Below are 23,921 nucleotides of genomic sequence, written 5' to 3'. Positions count from 1 at the left end.
AATCCATGAAATGCTATGTAGAAAATGTCAGTAATATATTATTGGCTGTTTTCTTACTTAGATCTGTGAGGTGAAGTAGAGGGAGTCTGAAGAGTTGCTTATTAGTGTTTGTCTCACTCAGCTCATAGTTTTGCTTTTCAATTTCAGTTCTCTAGTTTATGTGTCAGGTGAGGGTTCTAAAATTATTGCACTCAGCCTAACCAAAGGCGTCTGAGTTTATATTTACTGGTGTAAATAGCAATTTAGCAGGGTGATGGTATTTGTTACACACAAGCAATTTGAATTCAGTCAATTTTATTTGCAAAATTCAGATTAGAGCTGGTATTAAATTCTCCACAAGAAATCAGACAAACAGAACCAGTAATGTGCTATGAAATGAAAGAAACCCAAACAACCTCAGAGGCAGTTTGGCTCTGCCAGGTGATGTTATTAAATTTGGCAGTGTGAGAAAAGGGTTGAAAGAATACAGCCATCCAGGACTATGGATTCAACACAGTGAAGTTGGAAAGATTAAGGGATCTAGCCAAAAAAACAAACAGGGACAGCCAATAATCATTCAGCAACACAGATAGTAAGAGCTATTCCTAGCAGGCTCCACAGGATCCCCTGAATAAAACCTCAATGGACTGGAATTTCTCAGAAAGGAGCATGAATTTGTAGTTGGATTCACCAGAGGGGATGTCACTCAAGGACCTGTACAGACTATTGTGCTAGTTCAAGAGGAAAATAAAGAACGGAAAAGGAGGTAGAAGGGTTATAGTGAGGAAATTGGCAAGTAGCTTAGGGTTAAATACATTCTGAGCAGCAGGACAAAGGAAAGTGTGTGCACCTAGGTTCTTATGGATTTACCAGGGAAAGGGGAAACTAAACATAGAGTTTAGGAGTAGGAAACCTAATGAATGAGTAATAAGGTGACGAAAATATCCAAATGAATCAAATACTACAACTGACCTAGAAGCATCATTCTTTTCCCTGAATTTTCTATGTTCTGTCCCTACGAGTCTGCCCATGGTTCCTGCATATGCCATGAAGTTTCTCAGTTGGGGCTGAGCCCTTACTATTTTCTCTACCTAGAGAAATCTCCCATTACTGTCTATGAAACTAGCTAATACATTCTCATTTATTGGGCTTCAATTTAAATACCTTTTCCTCTAGAAAGCATTCCCTGATCTCATAGCCTATTATGAATCCATCTGTTACAGGTTCCAACAGCACTTTCCATTTTTGAGACACTAGCAGGATTCCCTGCTGGAAAATCTATGAAAGCAAGGGCCATATCTACCTTATTGACCATGATGTCTGCAGTACCTAAAAAGTACATGGAATGATGCTTAATATTTTCTTAATGGATGTAAAGGAGAATTCATTTGACAATTGCCATAGACCCAAGTGTATAGTAGTAACTAGGCTCACAGCAATATCTTTGTAGTCCTGTCTCTTTTACCCATTCCTCCACCTCCACTTCACTCTAACATGTGGTTTAATTAAGAATCTCATGACTCACCTTTGGCAGATGCTGCAAGTTGGCTCACACAATTCTTATTTCCAACCCCATTTTCCTTTCCTTTGCTTTCTCTATTACTCAGGATAGGCGAAGTTATGCTGTGATAACAACCTCGAATTTTAATGATTTTTTTTAAAAGAGCTTTATTTCCCACCTATGCAAGTCCACTAGAAGGCCAGGCAACTCTCCAGCACAGCTGTCTCCCATACTAGGGCTCAGTGATAGAGGCTGCTTCAGTTTGGCAGCGCCCTCGTAGTAAGCTTCGTTTCTGTGCTTGCTGTGGTGTGGAAGGGAGCATAGAGACCCACACAATGGATCCTGAATGCTTTGGCTTGAAAATGACACATGTTACATATGCCATGTTGGGAAAAACTACCCACATGACCACACTTAACTTCATGGAGTAAGGAAGTGTTCCTGGAAGTAGAGGAGAACTGCATAATAGTAGGTATTAATAATAGCTACAACATCTTCTTCTGCCCTCAAGCCTGGAAAGCTAAATGCTAATTTGTTAACCTCTCTTGCAGTTAGGGGTAGCCATGTGATAGGAAGGAAAATTTTTCTTTACCAGTTCACTTTCAAATATTCCCAGGGAAGGCCTCTGTCTAACCTGATGTAAGACAATTGCCCAGCCCTGGAACAATGACTTCAGTTGTCCTTCAGTTGTTCAACTTGAATCAGCTGCAATATCATTTCACCTTCAAGTATCAAAAAAAACCATCACCAGCTTAAACAAATTTAGGAATGAACCACTGAAATGCTTTCTTGGCATGTTAAAGCTACCAAGTCAACTCTAGCAGTTGCCTCTATCTGTAGTTCTTGACATGTGAGGCAAATAAGCCTCTAAATTCATTTAAGCCAATTCTTCCGGGGGAAAGTTGAGATGATTTAAGTCCAAGATTTACTGTAATAGTGCCATTCTGTTGAGATAACCAGTCTGAAAGGAGGAAAAAAAAGCCCACAGAGAGAAGCAAAGACTAATGAAGGAGAGAAAAAAAAGAGAAAGAGAACTGAGAGCTTTCAAGCTCAGGGTTCCAAATAATGTTGTATAGCACATTACACCCTTCAAATCACTTTCCTAGCTATTGTCTGATTTCAAACAATAATTCTAATGAGACAGGCAATGCAGACCATTGGCAGGGTATATCAGAGGCTGGAAACATGAGGGCTAGTACCAGATTTGTCACCCATTCATTGTTTAGGCTTATATGCATGTCTGTAAAATAAAGGGTTTGAACTAATTTGGTATGGTAAATATGAACTCAGCCTTTGATCTTTAAATAGCATCAAATATTTAAATATTTAATCCATTCATTGACTGTATAACTTCTGGTAAATTTAATCAGCTCACCTAAATTTCCATCATTTCATCTAAAAAATTGACATGACAACATGGTCTTCATTTCATTGTTGTGACAACTAAATAAAATAATTAAAAGTAAAGCATCTAGCACAATGCGTGATCCATAGTAGATCCATGATAAACATTGTTCCTCTGCCACTCCATTTCTCTTCTCCCAAGGTTTCCTGTACCATGAAATTATATTCCCATTTTACAAATGAGTTTACTGAGTCACCAATGGTTAAGGACTTGCTCAGATCAATTTAGCTAGCCAGGGTCTAAAATAAGATCCAATTCTGAAATGGGATCAGAATCTATATTTCTAGCCTAATAGTCTTGGTGCTATTTCCATGATGCCAAAATCCCCACATTCCCTTCAATTCATCTGGCATTTATTAGGCATATTCTATGCAAAAGCATCATCCCTTAAGGTACCACACTCCTTTCATTGTCATAATGTCCCTACAGGCCCAAGATTTTATAGTATTATATAGTTTGAGACTTTAAAGAGATGTTAGTGGTCATTTACTTTAACTTTCTACTGAAAACTGGAATTCCCTTTACAGCATCCCTGATGTGTGGCCAGCCTCTCTTAGGCTATTCCAATACAGACACCATTGATAATGAAAATGCTGTGTCTGTAGTGACTAGCTCTATTTTAGTTGCTAGTGTCAGAAATTTAACTCAAACTACTCTTGCTATTAAAATATCTGCTCATATACTAACCTCTTGATTTAAACCAGGTTTCAGGCATTTCTCAGTCAAAGGGCTTGACCATTCCCATCCACATCCTATCTCTACTCTGTTTCTCCATCCCATCCATGAACCAGTCACAATATCACAGGGGTGCAATATTCTGATGTCTCAAGCCCAAGACTCATAGCCAATCCTGTTGTCAGGAGCAGGGTCAGCACCACTAAACCCTAAGGACTGTGGATGGGCAAGGGGCACCTCCCAAGACAATCAGGATAATATCACCAAGAAACAAAAATGAAAATTGAACAGGCAAAAACAACTCATTCCACTACGATGCTATCTTTTTCTATATTCTGCGTCAGAAAAGGAAGTTAAAGACTTCTTTTCTAAAACCTTGAAAGTTAAAATAAAGCCAACAGTTGAAAGATGCCCTGCATTGTACTCTATCTGTTAGGAATTCTCTTGACTGCAAGTGAAAATATCCAACAAATACTGCCTTAAGCAATAGAAGATTCATTTTTCTTCCAGAGAAAGTAGGCAATTTGGGACCCCCCATTCAGTGACCTAAGTGTCAAGTCTGAGTTGGTGATTCTGGTGTTCTCTTAATATTTTCTCATGGCAGCAAGATAGCCACACCACCTCTAAGTAGCATATCCCCAAAGGTAAGAAGCATGAGGCAGTGGGAGTGGAGGGCAATTAATGTACTTATTTCTGACCTAGAAAAGAAAGCTCTTTCCCAGAAACTTTCAGAAAAGTTATCTTTAATTCTCTCTGGCTGGAACTGGGTCACATGGCTACATTCAGCAGCAAAGGATACTGGGATCCACCTCTCCAGGCCCTGTAATGGGAGGATGACAAAGGGGAAGGGATGAGTAGGTCCTGGCTTAGGGTATCAACATTGTCTACCATAAGTATGTTAGCAAATGTATTTTTGATCCCTTTTCCTTTCACTCACCCAAATAAGGCAATTTTTCCTATTCTATGCAAGGAGAATTGGTCTTGACTTCATCACCTCACCACCTTCATAATATTCCAAAAGCATAATTAGACCTTCTCAAAATACTCACTGAATGGTAAACTCTATAAAAAAAGAAAAATCAAATGTTACGTTTATATGCCACAGAAACTAGCACAGTGCCTGGCAGATCACTGACATTCAATAATATTTCCAACTAAACCAAAATGCCCTGCTCACAAATAATTATTTTCCCCAATATAAATCAAAGATCAAAAACTATCTATTTGCTTTTAGAGTGCTTTTGCTTTTAGTTGTAACTGGTGTTCATCCATACATAGAAAACCATTTCATTGGAGTATCATATGCTGATTTGCTGGTTTTTTCTCTATGCATAATAAAGTGATCAGTAAGCAGAGCAAACTTCAGTAGCCACATGCTCTAACCCAGTGGTTCCCAAACTTTCTATAAAAATTCTATGTCAGCATTACCCAGGAAGTTTTTAAATACAAATTTCAACTCATTTCAGTCCCAGAATTTCTGATTCTTTGGGTCCCAGATGGGGTCTTGGTAACCGAATTTTTTTAAAGCTTCAAATTTCAGCTGAGCTTGGAACTACTAGTTAAACCAACTAAATCAATTAGCTCACAAACATTAAGTGTGTCTATTTTCATTCACACTTTGCAGCCTTTTAGAAAACTTGTCAAAGGTTTCCCCACTACCCAATGATCACTTTGGTAACTACTAAGAAGCCTCAAACAGTTGAAACCTTTCTAAGAGATAAGGAGCATCTTACCAATGGGGTCTTCTTGAAAAGGCAATTTTAGTGCCTGCCATGTAAACAGTAGAATTTGCCAATTCTGTGGCTTCCAGAAACCAGCCCAAAGACAATTCATAAACCAAAGTTACCAACTGCTCCTGCTTCCCCAGAGGGAATTCCTTATTCCCACTCTCTATAGACAGAAAATCCACATAAAAGATGGACACTAAAACATCACCTTGCCTATATCTGATGCTCAGTCAGACATGGGATGGTTCCTTGTTGTTCTTTTCCACTTAGATTTTTAGTTTTGCCCAATTTCCCTAGCTCACTGGTCTGCAAAATCTTTGAGCTAATTTGTCCCTCCCACCTCCCCCTCCCAATCTTAAATTGTAAGCCTAGTGACCCCAGATATCAAAGCAAGCCCAGAAGCACAATCTCATTCATTTATTCAGCCAATAAAAGAAATGGTCTGCTTCCAGGTGCATTATTTTTTCCATCTGCCCAATAAACATAGTGATGTATATCAGAATAAACAAATGTTCCTTATTACAATGTATAATCCACTGGCATTAAGATATACCATTTCTTATCCATTGGAATTAGGTTGTTTCAATCAAAGCAGAACTGGTTCTAGATAACATCTATCTCACTGAAAAGTCAATGTGTGACTCTCGTTATGAAATGCATCAATAATCTACAAAGAGGAGATTTTACCAAGCAAGACAGGCAAATCTCCAGGTTATCAGGCAATAGCCGCTGTTTTAGGCCTTTGTTGCTTCTTGAAGGGGGAACAAGAAGCAAATTGGTTTCAACACAGAATAAATGGCACAGAGGACTCCTGCCCTGGGGAGAAGGAGATTGCCAATAAGGAGGTAATTTCTAGCTCTTGGCTGCTCTGTTCACTTTTGCTCCCTCCCACCTTGAGTTAACCGGCACATTGAAAGAATAATAATTCAGCAGCACAATATGGTTAATGAAATCTGATACACTTACATATCAGCCTCAGAGCAAGAAGGCAATCTCCCTACTGTATTTAATATTCCTCATATCTGCCTAGGTATGTTAGGCTTGCCTTTGGTCTACTTGTTGAAAGAATAAGAAATGTACAGGTAAGTGAGTATAATAATTAGGGTTCATGGTCTGTGAAGGAAAACAGGTTAATGTGTTATGGTTTGAAAAACCTGGGAAGGTAAGGGCAGGAGGTAAGGACTTAATAACACTTTCTAAATATGTAAAAAGCTACCATGTGATATATCCGAGTACTGAGCACAAAGAAATAAGCTAAATTATAACAAGAGGTGTGATAATTATTTATTGGGAAAAATATTGTAATATTAATTGTTGCTAGTTATTAAGGGCAGTTGCAATTATCTGAGAAAATAGGCTCAGAGACTTGCCCAAGGTCTCACAGGTAAGTCTAAGGTAAAGTTGGGATTTGAACCCGAGTCTGACTTACTCCAATGTACAGACCTTGTACATTGTTTCTCCATGGAGAAATAATAAAAAATGACCTCAGCTTATTCTTTCACCCTCATTAGTGTAACTAACATTTATTACTTTATTTTAGGTCCTACCTTCTCCCAGTCAGAATGGTCATGGCTTTGTCACTATTTGTAACAAAACCTTAAGCTAGAATAACTAGATGTTTCATAGCCAGGCAATGAAAAATGTGGTGGATTGTGAAAAATACTTGCCACCCCTCCCTGGAATCTACCTCCCTTTTGGAATGCATCCTTGTTCTGGTGACATTAAATTTGACATTAATTGATTTATGTTGCCCCCTCTTGCAGGAAGTTTGTACATCTCCACTTTGTTGAACCCAACAATGTCAACATGACCTTCATGGGCCAGTGAAATGTAGGCAGAAGTGATACATGTCAATTCCAAGTAAGAACTTTTAGAGCCAGCTCATGTTTGCCATGTCTTATTTCCCTTGGCAATGGGCTGTCAATAACCCAAACAGGGCTTCCCTATCAGCAAGAGTAGAAGAATGATGACAACAATAAGCAGAATCACAGCCGACTTGCGACAGACATTCAAAATGAGCATGAAGTAAACCTTTGTTGTAATCAGTAAGATTTCAGGGTTGTTTGTTACTGAAGCAAACAATAACCTGACTAATATGAAAGAATGACCCTGATTTCTGCATTTCAAGGCTTTCTAACGAGTTCCAAAAACCAGGATGTATGGGGTTAATACAGGATGGGTTGCCATCCTGACTTCTTCATCCAAACCCCTCCATCCAAAGTACTTCATACAAACGCCTCCCTCAATCCCTTAATTTGAGGGTCAGGAAGGAAAAATATAATTTTTTAATCTACATTCAGAATATTTCGACAGAATATTTCTGTTAAAAAATATATAAAAACAAAAATTTAAATTTAAAAAAACACTGGCAGAACATTGCCCAAAATTGGACATAGTGGTTAAAAACAATCCCTTTGTAATCAATCAGACATGGGTTCTAATCTGCCAGTTACCAGATGTGACATTTGGGGCATATTAGTTCCTGTATCTTCAAACTATAGTTTGCTTATTGGTAAAACAAAGACAATAACAGTATTGTGGAGATTATGGCCTCAGAGGGGATTGTGGGGATAAAATAAAGCAAAGTACATAAAAGCGTTGCCCCATGCCTGCCATGTGATAAAAGCACATAAAAATGTTACTTTTATGAACAAAGGCACTGCAGGGGATAAAAGGATAAATCACAGTCTAATAGGATGACAAAATGCAATCACAAATAACAATAAGGTAATATGTTATAAATGCTTTAAGACTGCTACCAACAAAGTGCCATAGGAAAACAAAGGAGAAAAAGAAAACAAGTATAACTGGAAAAAGAGAAGAGAGGAATGAAAAGACTTCATGAAGAAGGTAGCATTTGAATTGGGCCACCTATACTATTCAAACTCCTTTAAATATGGATCCACAATCTATAAATGTTTCCTAGATTTAGCTACAAGAAAAAGTTTCTGTCTTCTGAAAATTCACAATCTTTCTCTTTGATCGTGAACTTGTCATGCTTTTTTTTTTTTTTGATATTGAATGTTAGAAAGATACAGACAAATACAATATTTAATTTAGGGAATTATCTCAGTCTTTGTTCTACCTTTCTTCCTTATGGCTTCTGATTTTCTCTTGATCATTCTTTACTGTCCTGAGTAAACTTTATATCTGTATTTTTATCATAAGCTGCCTCCAGTCCATTCTTGCTTATTGTTGGAGTATATGCTGTAAATAAATAAAATATATTTGTATCTTCCTTCTGGTATTTCTAGAGTGTATTATTTTGGCACCTCATTCAAAGATAGAAAAAGAGATTATTCATTCTTCTGTGGCTTCTACAGAACTTGACAGAACAAGTAATAAAATTGGCCAAGCCAGGTTGGTACCCTACACTGTGGTGTCAGTAATTAAAGTACAGATTCTAAGTGCTGGTTTTCAGGTTAGATTCAATTAGCAGCATTTCTCACTTTAGCAAGAAAGAAAACATAACCTAAAGGCAAGGTCGCTGTTACTCAGCTGAACAGCAGTTTTAAAGTGAATGATATGTTTTTAGGTTGGGGAAGATACCAGTAAGACTACCTTTGTTCTCTAGAAGAAAAGCAAAATTTTTTCAATTCAAACCAGTGAAACGATCTCATGTATTTCAACCACAAAACAACTCTTTAAATAAGATAAAACTCCAGCTTTCTTTTCTACAGAAAAAGTAAGAGAAAAATCAAGGTCTTCTATAATAGAATACTGCGTTTAAAAGTAAGTTAGAATTCAAATTCAAATGTTTTGCATTAGCATATACTGAACAAATACCATTTTCAGAATTCTTCTGAGGGGCATAATTAAATTGATTTTACATCATCTGAATAAAATAAGTAAGGTTGTACCATATAGATACTAAAACGATTAGCATTTTTGTCAGTTGATAGAAAAGCAACTCGTGAAAACTTATATTATCAGCAAAACAAGACACCAACAGATTTATCTGTATGAATTGGTCATTTGAAGCTCTGAATTATTAATTTTGTTGTAGTCATTGATGCAATGCCCTTTCATAAAACCAAAAGGAAATGTCTCAGAGGCATTTTAAAACTAAAACGGCCAGCCTGCTAATCATATCCATCAATAATTGTTACCGGGGTGGCAAAATAATACATCGTTGTCAAAATTAAACTGTCATTCAGAACAAATAGTACAGAATTAACAGAGAATGTATTCTATTCAACTACAAAACAACTTTTTAAATAAGATAAAACTCCAGCTCTCTATTCTGTAGAAAAGCAAGAGAAAAATCATGAAAACATTTAATATAAAACATGTTGTTAAAACACAATATATGTTTTAACAACATGTAGCTGCACTTCTCAAAAATTATTGTAGAAAATAGCACATCCTTCTCACATAACATAAGATTTGCTATGATATAATACCATGTCCATTTCATAGTTTACCTTCATAAGGGTTGTTTATATAGACAAATTATAAAATAAAGGGGAAAATCACAAATACTCCTATCTCCCCAAAATGACAGCCACTGTCAATCTTCAGTTTACCATCCTGGACTATCTATCTATCCATCTATATGTAAGTATATGTATTCTACAAATGTGACATGTACCATTGTATACACTATTTAAATGATTTTCAATTAAAAGTATCTTATGAATCTATTTTATGTGGCTACATCATCATTTTCCGTTACTACATGGATTCCATTTTTCTAATTTAACATATTTAATAAATCCTCTATTACTGGGGATTTTGGACAGTTTGCTGACTGCTATAAATAGTCTAGTAAAATTATCTTTAATTTATAGATTATAAATCTATAAATTATAGAAGGAAGCAATAATAGATAATTGCTTCTGATAATTTTCTCTAAGTGGAATGTTCTGTGTCAAAGAGAAAGCACCTTCTTAAGGCTTTTGATACATAGTCCCCAACTGTAAGAGATTGTTCACATTCCCTCGTGCTCTCCAGTATGAGATATTGGTACTCTTTTAGAATCTTGCCTCTTACAATATGTATGTTTTAATTTCTGGGTAAGTCTTCCTCAATCTCTAAGCATTCAGGTGATCCTTAGAGGGAGATTCAACCAAGGATGCTCTCCAACTCAGTGGCTTGTTGTATAATCTGAATCACGCATGCTTTTTCAAGGGTGAAAGTGTACAGTATCAATCTAAATCCTTCATTATGAGCTTATTAACATGGCATTACTACAAATTTGTTTGACCTATTTCTGGAATATCTTACCACAGAGCACATCACCTGCAGTTTGAATAAATTAGCAGTCAAACTTCAGTTCTTTCAGACACCTAGGGTAAATTTCTGCTTCACTGAACTAAATGATACCCAGGTATCTGTAATTTACTTAATGGTATCTTGGTGGTCAAACAGTTACAGCACTCTCCATCATAAAGTGCTTTAAAGGAAGAATTTTATTCACTCCTAAGATTCTAAAGAGAAGAACTTAACCTTTATGCCTAAGTATTTCCGACATTATAAATTAAAAGGAAACCGATTGCAATTATAAATGAGCATTGTGAAACATAAATTGTGAATGTCAGTGCTGAATATCATTTAAATCAACCATGAATATTTCTACACTTCTAACAGGTCTGTGTGAACTAAAGCCTTTCTTTTCACATGATTAGAGGTTATCAGGCTAAGGTATTTGCCTTGATTCTGTAATTCTACAACAAAAAGCCCCTCTAGGGTTTTGTGATAAAGAAAATGGGAAATGGGAGGCATGCCATTTAAATACCAACTCCTAATTGCAAAAATGTGAATATGTAAATCCAATTACATACATTTAAGGATTAGGTATTAATTGGATGTGCCTTGATATAAATTGCACAGTCAATTCTTTTATTAGAAATGATCCTCTCTTCCCATTTTGGCATTTGGTAATAATCGACAAAATATCATAGGTTCTCCCTTGCTCTGCGATTTGCCAGGACGATATTACAGCTCACACAGATCAAATATCTTTGTTCTGAACTCTAGAGCCATCAGGATATGTGCTAATGCTTTACTTGAAAGGAATAAAAAAAAGTTGTCATGTTAATATGACTTCTTAGCCACTGGGCATTTAAATAGACTCAGGACCACACACCCTGACTGGCTGATGGGAAGTGAGAAAAGGTCAGATGGCAGGAGGCAGAGTTTGTTCAGACACAATTTACAGAATGTTATCTGAGGACTTGTACCTCTTCACTTCTGCTTCACTGATATCACAGAAGAATATGAGACCCCTTGGAATTCTTCTACATTCTCCTCTTCCTTGCTTATAGCACTTTGTTGCTACCAACTTATTTCCAGTTGAACATAATGTCCTCTACCTACAGGCAGGGTGCAAAATGCAAAAATGGTACAGACATGAGAGAAGATGCAAAAATGAGCAAGAATATCTTGAATTTGACAGAATCTTGATTTTAATTCTGGCTCTGAAAATGATTATCTGTGTGACTCAGAAAGTTACTTCACCCTCCTAGCCTCATGTCTTGGTCTGTGAAATCAGAAAACAACCACATCACACAGTGGGATGATTGAATGAGATGGTTAATGTAAAATGCTTCAGGTACATACAGAAAAGTGTGCTAGCCATATTCTACCTTTATTACCCTCAGGAGCTTCTGTTCTGAGAGGTGGGATGCTACAAGAAGGAACTAGGAGATAAGACATATTCATAAGTAAGCATGATTACACACGTAACACAAATTACACTCAGATATCCAAAGACAATAGAGATTCTTTACTTTCTCTGACTGAATTGATGACTCCCACAAGTCTCCCACCCATCTGGATAACATGAAAAAAAAACCCAATAAACTTGATAATTTAGAGTGTATGGATCTCTTCAGGTTTAATTTGTCTCTTTAGATGACTTGTTCTCTTTCAAGCAAATGCTTCAATATTAGGTGCACTTCTCCTCCCCTACATAGTACAGGGTGTGGGGCTCATGTGTCTTCAGGGAGGCAGATGAGAGGTGGTGGCCTCAGATTTTTCCCATGTCCTTCAGATCATTGCTAGTCTCTGTTTCAGAGTACTGGTCTACCCTGCCTCCTGGATCACTGAGACATAATTAGACCCTTCTGACCATCTGCACATTGTAGTGGCACCTATTCACCTGTAGAGTCCTTGTTCCTATCCTTTTCCTCTAGCCATGAAATGTGCCCACCTATAGCCTCTTTGTTCCAACTCTAGGCCTCTGCTGTTTCAGCAAGCATTTCTTGCTGAAACAAGAAACTCTCTAAGCAGGGCGTGTGGGCTTTTTGTTCCCTTGCATGCTCTTCACAAGCTGCAGGGATCCAGGAGCCTCAGCTTGGGCTCATCTATATAGCCCGTACCCCTGCCAGTGGTGTTCTGCCACCTCCAAGGCGTGTTGAACATGGCCAGTAACAGGCTTCCCTGAAGCTGGGAAGTGTGCCAATAGCTCATTCCCATTGCATAAATCCCTTTTGGATGCTTCTAGCCTCCCCACCAGGCCCCTTACACCTAAGGGTTCCAACCTGAAAAAGATAAATCAGGACCTATATCTGACCTCACTGCCCCATCCCTAATGTCTTTGCACTTCTTCCAAGACCAGGATGAAATAAGCTAGCTTTTCTTCCATCATTCTGTCTGATAGGACATTTTTAACATTATATTCCCCTTTTTCCCAAGACGTAATTTTCCTTTCCTTTCCTTGGGAACTTAATAATGGATGGGATAAGAAGAGAGAAACTGATTTGTCAATAAGGGAATTTAAATCAGAAGCATTCAGGAAATAGTTTAGTTATTGCATTAGCTATATATATATATATAAAATATGGTATATCAGTGTAATGTAATGTAAAGTGTGGTAAGTGCTGTATGAGAAATGGAGATTCAGGTTTCAGAAAGCAGTGGTAATTATATACATATTGCAGACTCTGCAAACACAATATCATAGGTAAACAGATATATAGAGACCATATCTATCCAGCTTTGAAGAAAACAAGTCTTATTTGGAAAGTTCTGAGTTCCAGATACTCATTTCCTACATTCCTAAATTCAAATGTGTCCTGGCCCAGATCCACTTCTGGATACGTGGTTGTGAGCAATTTTAACTTTATTCCAAACTGCTTCCACCTCTAGTCAGTGTCTCCATTCCCTACAGTTGTCCTGCAACTCCAGCCCAGGAGAAAGTAGCTCTTGTCTGCAAACTCAGTTTCTGCAGTAGATGACAACCAAGAATCTCAACTACAAAAGCCAACAGCTTTTCCTTCTGTCCATAGAATTCTCAATCCTGTTCCTTTCCCTCTTTATCCCAGCTATCCTGTACCTCCAATAGATGCCTGTATGCCCTTTTACTCACTCTGTCTACAATTAGATAAGAAGTTTATATTATTACCTGAAAAGACAACCAACAATAGCTACAATATTTTACCATTCATTCATTCAATAAATATTTATTGAGAGCCTACTTTGTGCTAGACAATATTTTAAGCAGTGAGGATATAATGGTGAGCAATGTCCTAACTCTCATGGAGCTTATTTCTAGTGAATAGGTAGGTAGGTAGATAGGTAGGTAGGTAGGTAGGTAGGTAGATAGGTGGATGGATAGATAGATAGATAGATAGATAGATAGATAGATAGATAGATACCAATGAAAAGCACCTTGAAGAAAAATAAAGGTTAAGGAGAAAGAGAGTGACAGTATCAGGGTAGAGGTGTTATTTTGTTTTGGACATTGTGATCATGGAAGACCTTTCCAATAAGAGATATTAAGCAAAGAACTGAAAAAAGTAAATGAATAAGTTTTGTGGTCCAGATGCAAAGTCAGGGCAGGATATATCTATCTGGGAGTCATTAATGGTATTTAGTGCCTAAAAGTAGATGAGATTATCAAAGCAGTGAGAAGTAGAGATCAGAATCCTATGCCCAAGGACATTCCAATTTATAGAGATCCAAAATAGGAGGAGAAATTAGCAAAGGACACTGAGAAATGGTGTCCAGTGAGGTATGAATGAACTAGTCTCAGTATAAAAAAAGATAGCATTAAGGCAATAATCAGCCATTTTTTTCTATTATGGATATTTTAATATGCCCGGGTTCTGTGACAACACAAAGATGAATTAGACAATGTTGTTGCTCTCTAAGAGAGTACCACTCAATATTCATAGTAGTCAGTGTTCTAAAACGGTGCCCAGTGATTCTTACTTCCTAATATGCACACCCTGTGTAATCACCTTTCATTGAATGTGGACTGGACCTAGTGACTTGTTTCTAATAATAAAAAGAATATGGCAAAAGTGATGTAATGTCATTTCTGAGATTAAGTTATAAAAGGCTGAGACTTCCACCATGCTGACATTCTCTCTCCAGCTGTTCTTACATACTTTCCCTGATGAAAAGAGCCACTTAGCAAGGGACAAATGGTGACTTCCAGCCAACGAGCCAGTGAGGAACTGAGGCCTTCAGTCCAACAGCCCTCAAGTAAACTGAATTCTGCCAACAACTATGTGAGTGAGCTTAAAAACAGATTCTTCCCCTATTGAGCCTTCACATGAGACCACAGAACCTGGGTAAACACCTTGATTACAGCCATCTGAGAGAGACTATGAAGCCAAAGACCCAATTAAGCTGTGACCAGATTCATGACTCACAGAAACAATGAGATTTTAAAAGTGTTGCTGTTTTAAGCAATGACATTTTGGCCAATTTAGCACTCAGCAATAAATAATGAATACATTAAGGAAAATCCAAGAACAGAAATCAGGACACTGCAAAGCAGCATTTATATTGGCTCACTTCCCCACCCCTATTTCAGGCACCTGAAGCTCTATGATAACAGTCATAATCACCTTAGTGTGAATTATACTGTCATTGAGTCAACTTTTCTCCAGTATAACTGTAATTTAGGTCTTATTGCAAATAAAAGAATGAAAACACTGACTGAACAAGCCAGAATAAAAACTTTCAGATAAAAAGAGACTTTCTTGGCACCTTTGAATTAACTCTGCAGAAAATAGTCAAAGGATCTGGCTGTAGTTTATACACTTTAAATCATCTCATTTGTTTTGCAACTCCTCTCTTCTCTCCTGCTGACTTTTCAGCTAGTCCATCCCCACCTTCGTGACATAACTCTAATTTAAGCTTTTATCAAAACGATTATGATTTCCACTTCACTGCCCTTGAATGCTGTGGAATTAAGATACCAGCATAATTAATGGACCACCTTGCTAACACTATTTCTTCTTCACATCACAGAGGAAATGTCAAGTCACATTTCCTTTGGAAATCAAGACTACTAAGAGATTTCACTGTCACTTTTAAGTTAGTTAAGAAATATCAAATAGTCAAAGACATATACAGGAATAGTTATATGTTCACACAATAATCATATGGGCTTCTAAATAGTCTCCTTCAAAAAAATATTTAAGGGGACATCTCATTCCAAAAAACTAGCAGACTGATTTAATGAAAATCAGTTACTCATCACAAATGGCCATAGAAATTCTGGATAAAATATAACAAAAATTATCTTAAGCACATAACTGAATGCAAAACAAAACTAAAAATTTTTTTGTTTGTTGAAACTAGGGGAAACATAAATCCAGAGTGGAAGGGCAGCAGGTTGCTCAATTCCAGGGAGATTTTATTCTAGGTAAATGGCACTCCTAGAATTAAACTGAAAGGTGGGAAAAGTGACATTATGCCTGAATAGGAGCTCTAAGGGCTGAGGGGTGGGGTCTTAAACATAAAGAGGAGGCTGCATCCATATGTATTAGTCTCCTGTGGCTGCTGTGACAAAATACCATGAATTTGGTAGCTTAAAACAACAGATACATATTACCTTACAGTTCTAGAAGCTACAAGTCCAAAAATCAAGGTGTCAGCCAAGCCTCACTCTCTCTGGAGGCTCTAAGAGAGAATTTATTCTTAGCCTTTTGCAACTTCTGGTGCCTGCAGGTGTTCCTTGGCTTGTAGACCACGCTAATCTTTGCCTCCTCTTCATATTGCCTTCTCCTCTGAGTATCTAAGCCTTCCACTTTTCAGTCTGTCTCAAATCTCCCTCTGATTCTATCTTAAAAGGATATATAGACACCTGTCCATTGATTTAGGGCCTACCAAATGATTTAAGATGACCACATCATCTCAAGATTTTTGTTTGTTTTTATTTTTATTTATTATTTATTATTATTATGCTTTAAGTTTTAGGGTACATGTGCACAATGTGCAGGTTAGTTACATATGTATACATGTGCCATGCTGGTGCACTGCACCCACTAACTCGTAATCTAGCATTAGGTATATCTCCCAATGCTATCCCTCCCCCCTCCCCCCACCCCACAACAGTCCCCAGAGTGTGATGTTCCCCTTCTTGTGTCCATGTGTTCTCATTGTTCAATTCCCACCTATGAGTGAGAATATGCGGTGTTTGGTTTTTTGTTCTTGCGATAGTTTACTGAGAATGATGATTTCCAGTTTCACCCATGTCCCTACAAAGGACCTGAACTCATCATTTTTTATGGCTGCATAGTATTCCATGGTGTATATGTGCCACATTTTCTTAATCCAGTCTATCATTGTTGGACATTTGGGTTGGTTCCAAGTCTTTGCCATTGTGAATAATGCTGCAGTAAACATGTGCATGCACGTGTCCTTATAGCAGCATGGTTTATAGTCCTTTGGGTATATACCCAGTAATGGGATGGCTGGGTCAAATGGTATTTCCAGTTCTAGGTCCCTGAGGAATCACCACACTAACTTCCACAGTGGTTGAACTAGTTTACAGTCCCACCAACAGTGTAAAAGTGTTCCTATTTCTCCACATCCTCTCCAGCACCTGTTGTTTCCTGACTTTTTAATGATTGCCATTCTAACTGGTGTGAGATGGTATCTCATTGTGGTTTTGATTTGCATTTCTCTGATGGCCAGTGATGATGAACATTTTTTCATGTGTTTTTTGGCTGCATAGATGTCTTCTTTTGAGAAGTGTCTGTTTATGTCCTTTGCCCACTTTTTGATGGGGTTGTTTGTTTTTTTCTTGTAAATTTGTTTGAGTTCATTGTAGATTCTGGATATTAGCCCTTTGTCAGATGAGTAGGTTGTGAAAATTTTCTCCCATTTTGTAGGTTGCCTGTTCACTCTGATGGTAGTTTCTTTTGCTGTGCAGAAGCTCTTTAGTTTAATTAGATCCCATTTGTCAATTTTGGCTTTTGTTGCCATTGCTTTTGGTGTTTTAGACATGAAGTCCTTGCCCATGTCTATGTCCTGAATGGTAATGCCTAGGTTTTCTTCTAGGGTTTTTATGGTTTTAGGTAGAATGTTTAAGTCTTTAATCCATCTTGAATTGATTTTTGTATAAGGTGTAAGGAAGGGATCCAGTTTCAGCTTTCTACATATGGCTAGCCAGTTTTCCCAGCACCATTTATTAAATAGGGAATCCTTTCCCCATTGCTTGTTTTTCTCAGGTTTGTCAAATATCAGATAGTTGTAGATATGTGGCGTTATTTCTGAGGGCTCTGTTCTGTTCCATTGATCTATATCTCTATTTTGGTACCAGTACCATGCTGTTTTGGTTACTGTAGCCTTGTAAGATAGTTTGAAGTCAGGTAGTGTGATGCCTCCAGCTTTGTTCATTTGGCTTAGGATTGACTTGGTGATGCAGGCTCTTTTTTGGTTCCATATGAACTTTAAAGTCGTTTTTTCCAATTCTGTGAAGAAAGTCATTGGTAGCTTGATGGGGATGGCATTGAATCTGTAAATTACCTTGGGCAGTATGGCCATTTTCACGATATTGATTCTTCCTACCCATGAGCATGGAATGTTCTTCCATTTGTTTGTATCCTCTTTTATTTCCTTGAGCAGTGGTTTGTAGTTCTCCTTGAAGAGGTGCTTCACATCCCTTGTAAGTTGGATTCCTAGTTATTTTATTCTCTTTGAAGCAATTGTGAATGGGAGTTCACTCATGATTTGGCTCTCTGTTTGTCTGTTGTTGGTGTATAAGAATGCTTGTGATTTTTGTACATTGATTTTGTATCCTGAGACTTTGCTGAAGTTGCTTATCAGCTTAAGGAGATTTTGGGCTGAGACAATGGGGTTTTCTAGATATACAATCATGTCATCTGCAAACAGAGACAATTTGACTTCCTCTTTTCCTAATTGAATACCCTTTATTTCCTTCTCCTGCCTGATTGCCCTGGCCAGAACTTCCAACACTATGTTGAACAGGAGTGGTGAGAGAGGGCATCCCTGTCTCGTGCCAGTTTTCAAAGGGAAGGTTTCCAGTTTTTGCCCATTCAGTATGATATTGGCTGTGGGTTTGTCATAGATAGCTCCTATTATTTTGAAATACATCCCATCAATACCTAATTTATTGAGAGTTTTTAGCATGAAGGGTTGTTGAATTTTGTCAAAGGCCTTTTCTACATCTATTGAGATAATCATGTGGTTTTTGTCTTTGGTTCTGTTTATATGCTGGATTACATTTATTGATTTGCGTATGTTGAACCAGCCTTGCATCCCAGGGATGAAGCCCACTTGATCATGGTGAATAAGCTTTTTGATGTACTGCTGGATTCGGTTTGCCAGTATTTTATTGAGGATTTTTGCATCAATGTTCATCAAGGATATTGGTCTAAAATTCTCTTTTTTGGTTGTGTCTCTGCCCAGCTTTGGTATCAGGATGATGCTGGCCTCATAAAATGAGTTAGGGAGGATTCCCTCTTTTTCTATTGATTGGAATAGTTTCAGAAGGAATGGTACCAGTTCCTCCTTGTACCTCTGGTAGAATTCGGCTGTGAATCCATCTGGTCCTGGACTCTTTTTGGTTGGTAAGCTATTGATTATTGCCACAATTTCAGATCCTGTTATTGGTCTATTCAGAGATTCAACTTCTTCCTGGTTTAGTCTTGGGAGAGTGTATGTGTCGAGGAATTTATCCATTTCTTCTAGATTTTCTAGTTTATTTGCATAGAGATGTTTGTAGTATTCTCTGATGGTAATTTGTATTTCTGTGGGATCGGTGGTGATATCCCCTTTATCATTTTTTATGGCGTCTATTTGATTCTTCTCTCTTTTTTTCTTTATTAGTCTTGCTAGTGGTCTATCTATTTTGTTGATCCTTTCAAAAAACCAGCTCCTGGATTCATTAATTTTTTGAAGGGTTTTTTGTGTCTCTATTTCTTTCATTTCTTCTCTGATTTTAGTTATTTCTTGCCTTCTGCTAGCTTTTGAATGTGTTTGCTCTTGCTTTTCTAGTTCTTTTAATTGTGATGTTACGGTGTCAATTTTGGATCTTTCCTGCTTTCTCTTGTGGGCATTTAGTGCTATAAATTTCCCTCTACACACTGCTTTGAATGCGTCCCAGAGATTCTGATATGTTGTGTCTTTGTTCTTGCTGGTTTCAAAGAACATCTTTATTTCTGCCTTCATTTCGTTATCTACCCAGTAGTCATTCAGGAGCAGGTTGTTCAGTTTCCATGTAGTTGAGCAGTTTTGAGTGAGATTCTTAATCCTCAGTTCTAGTTTGATTGCACTGTGGTCTGAGAGACAGTTTGTTATAATTTCTGTTCTTTTACATTTGCTGAGGAGAGCTTTACTTCCAACTATGTGGTAAATTTTGGAATAGGTGTGGTGTGGTGCTGAAAAAAAATGTATATTCTGTTGATTTGGGGTGGAGAGTTCTGTAGATGTCTATTAGGTCTGCTTGGTGCAGAGCTGAGTTCAATTCCTGGGTATCCTTGTTGACTTTCTGTCTCGTTGATCAGTCTAATGTTGACAGTGGGTTGTTAAAGTCTCCCATTATTAATGTGTGGGAGTCTAAGTCTCTTTGTAGGTCACTCAGGACTTGCTTTATGAATCTAGGTGCTCCTGTATTGGGTGCATATATATTTAGGATAGTTAGCTCTTCTTGTTGAATTGATCCCTTTACTATTATGTAATGGCCTTCTTTGTCTCTTTTGATCTTTGTTGGTTTAAAGTCTGTTTTATCAGAGACTAGGATTGCAACCCCTGCCTTTTTTTGTTTTCCATTTGCTTGGTAGATCTTCCTCCATCCCTTTATTTTGAGCCTATGTGTGTCTCTGCCCGTGAGATGGGTTTCCTGAATACAGCACACTGATGGGTCTTGACTCTTTATCCAATTTGCCAGTCTGTGTCTTTTAATTGGAGCATTTAGTCCATTTACATTTAAAGTTAATATTGTTATGTGTGAATTTGATCCTGTCATGATGATGTTAGCTGGTTATTTTGCTCGTTAGTTGATGCAGTTTCTACCTAGTCTCGATGGTCTTTAAATTTTGGCATGATTTTGCAGTGGCTGGTACCAGTTTTTCCTTTCCATGTTTAGCGCTGCCTTCAGGAGCTCTTTTAGGGCAGGCCTGGTGGTGACAAAATCTCTCAGCATTTGCTTGTCTGTAAAGTATTTTATTTCTCCTTCACTTATGAAGCTTAGTTTGGCTGGATATGAAATTCTGGGTTGAAAATTCTTTTCTTTTAGAATGTTGAATATTGGCCCCCACTCTCTTCTGGCTTGTAGAGTTTCTGCCGAGAGATCTGCTGTTAGTCTGATGGGCTTCCCTTTGGGGGTGAGCCAACCTTTCTCTCTGGCTGCCCTTAACATTTTTTCCTTCATTTCAACTTTGGTGAATCTGACAATTATGTGTCTTGGAGTTGCTCTTCTCGAGGAGTATCTTTGTGGCATTCTCTGTATTTCCTGAATCTGAACGTTGGCCTGCCTTGCTAGATTGGGGAAGTTCTCCTGGATAATATCCTGCAGAGTGTTTTCCAACTTGGTTCCATTCTCCCCGTCACTTTCAGGTACGCCAATCAGACGTAGATTTGGTCTTTTCACATAGTGCCATATTTCTTAGAAGCTTTGCTCGTTTCTTTTTATTCTTTTTTCTCTAAACTTCCCTTCTCGCTTCATTTCATTCATTTCATCTTCCATCGCTGATACCCTTTCTTCCAGTTGATCACATCGGCTCCTGAGGCTTCTGCATTCTTCACGTAGTTCTCGAGCCTTGGTTTTCAGCTCCATCCGCTCCTTTAAGCACTTCTCTGTATTGGTTATTCTAGTTATACATTCTTCTAAATCTTTTTCAAAGTTTTCAACTTCTTTGCCTTTGGTTTGAATGTCCTCCCGTAGCTCAGAGTAATTTGATCCTCTGAAGCCTTCTTCTCTCAGCTCGTCAAAGTCATTCTCCGTCCAGGTTTGTTCCATTGCTGGTGAGGAACTGCATTCCTTTGGAGGAGGAGAGGCGCTCTGCTTTTCAGAGTTTCCAGTTTTTCTGCTCTGTATTTTCCCCATCTTTGTGGTTTTATCTACTTTTGGTCTTTGATGATGGTGATGTACAGATGGGTTTTTGGTGTGGATGTCCTTTCTGTTTGTTAGTTTTCCTTCTAACAGACAGGACCCTCAGCTGCAGGTCTGTTGGAATACCTGGCCGTGTGAGGTGTCAGTCTGCCCCTGCTAGGGGGTGCCTCCCAGTTAGGCTGCTCAGGGGTCAGGGGTCAGGGACCCACTTGAGGAGGCAGTCTGCCCATCCTCAGATCTCCAGCTGCGTGCTGGGAGAACCACTGCTCTCTTCAAAGCTGTCAGACAGGGACACTTAAGTCTGCAGAGGTTACTGCTGTCTTTTTGTTTGTCTGTGCCCTGCCCCCAGAGGTGGAGCCTACAGAAGCAGGCAGGCCTCCTTGGGCTGTGCTGGGCTCCACCCAGTTCCAGCTTCCTGGCTGCTTTGTTTACCTAAGCAAGCCTGGGCAATGGCGGGCGCCCCTCCCCCAGCCTCGCTGCCGCCTTGCAGTTTGATCTCAGACTGCTGTGCTAGCAATCAGCGAGACTCCGTGGACGTAGGACCCTCCGAGCCAGGTGCGGGACACAATCTCTTGGTGCACCGTTTTTATAAGCCCTTCGGAAAAGCGCAGTATTCGGGTGGGAGTGACCCGATCTCCCAGGTGCCCTCTGTCACCCCTTTCTTTTACTAGGAAAGGGAACTCCCTGACCCCCTGTGCTTCCCGAGTGAGGCAATGCCTCGCCCTGCTTTGGCTTGCGCATGGTGCGCGCACCCACTGACCTGCGCCCACTGTCTGGCACTCCCTAGTGAGATGAGCCTGGTACCTCAGATGGAAATGCAGAAATCACCCGTCTTCTGCGTTGCTCAAGCTGGGAGCTGTAGACCAGAGCTGTTCCTATTCAGCCATCTTGGCTCCTCTCCCCCATCTCAAGATTTTTAATCACCTCTGCAAATGCCCTTTTTCCAAATAAGGTAACATTTACAAGTTCCAAGGATTAGGACACAGATAAATCTTTGGGGCCATCATTCAGCTCATTACACTATGGTTTTAAACTGCTTGAGGCAGGGAGGTGGAAAGACATCTCTGCATAAAGTAAGAACCCTCAGAACACGATTCAATCTGTAGAACAGGTATTTGAAAAATTCCACCCAAAAGACCAAAAGATGACAGAATGTTTGCAGTTTGCTCCAGGCTCTAGTTGAGAAAGAATTAAAAGCCTTCTAAGGAAAATATAAAAAAACAAATACCAAGGCCACACAACATGAGTGTGGGATCGAAAGGCATACTTAACAGAGTGGTACACATTGCAAGCCTGGAAGTTAGCAAAATTTTTCCAAGACCCATGAAAACCCTGGGATCATACAGAAGCAAGTGTGAAAATCACTCTTTAAGAACAAATCCACAATTCAGAGAACACAGGATTCCCACAGAAATTATATTACTTCAAGGATACTGGAAGACTTAGGTTCTAGTTGCAAACATGTACCTGATCTGTAGCATTGCTAAGCAGTGCAGGCCCTGTTTCCTTCCTTTGAAAATAGAGGCTCTACCATTCCCCCAGGAGTACTACAAAAAATTAGAGGGCTATGTGTGGAAAGATACCATTTACAGATATGCTTACAAAGACACATAATGCATATAATGAACAAATATGCATGCATATGGTCCCTTTAGTCCAACTATTGTACAAGTATGAAAGTTGAAAGATTCTTCTGAATAACTTATCTGGCTTGGTTACATTCAGAAGAGGTTGTTCTGTGTCACAGAAAGCAAGAACAGAAATATAAATGCAAGCATTTGTCACCTTTAAGCATCAAATGAAAAGATTTTTAATATTTAGAAACTCACTGACATTCCCCCTAGAAAGTCATTTCCAAATACCCTTTAAAAAGTGAATGTGTAATGGAAATTTTAAGTTTCCTATTCATGGCTTTATGCCACTGTGTTTCCTAACTTTTGAAAATCAATAGAAGCTATTAATCATTTTTCCCAAAACCCAGGGATTTGAGATGTTTTAAAGGTGAACTGCAAAAGTTTGGAACAGATGTTCAAAGAAGAATGTACCCACCAGAGCAGAAAAACTACTCCATGAGTTACAGATAATCATAGGCATTTTCAGTTTTTAAATTATTATGGCCACATCTCTTGGGGCTTCAAGTAGGATCTCAACTTCAAAGGTGTCATAATAAGACAATATAACCCTGAAATCATGGGTAATGAAATAATTGTAAGCTGGGATCTTAAACAAAGACTTTGATCTCTGAATCATAGCCCAGGGCCAGGAATGTCTTGGGGTTTATTGCTGTGATTGTTAATGTCTTTCTCCTTTTTGTTTTGCTGAAATATTCATAGTTAGTGTGGCAGTGTACTAGACTAGAGGCAGGGGAAGTGCCGC

General features: G+C 38.5%; 1 long non-coding RNA gene across 2 annotated transcripts in view, besides 1 other annotated feature; it reads right to left on the bottom strand.

Moving 5' to 3' along the window:
* The window catches only part of LOC124902439 (uncharacterized), an 820,351-nt gene that overhangs the window by 550,211 nt on the left and 246,219 nt on the right, over positions 1 to 23,921 (bottom strand). The window lies entirely within an intron of this gene.
* Positions 21,579 to 22,171: an enhancer, noted in NCBI's record as "NANOG-H3K27ac-H3K4me1 hESC enhancer chr10:65880319-65880911 (GRCh37/hg19 assembly coordinates)". NCBI's record gives its function as "activates a minimal SCP1, AML or CMV promoter by ChIP-STARR-seq in naive H9 embryonic stem cells {active_cell/tissue: H9 hESC(naive)}" and the evidence as "EXISTENCE:reporter gene assay evidence [ECO:0000049][PMID:30033119]".

Source organism: Homo sapiens, chromosome 10 (assembly GCF_000001405.40).
Source record: "Homo sapiens chromosome 10, GRCh38.p14 Primary Assembly".
NCBI lineage: Eukaryota > Metazoa > Chordata > Mammalia > Primates > Hominidae > Homo > Homo sapiens.
This window is presented reverse-complemented; position numbering and strand designations above follow the sequence as displayed.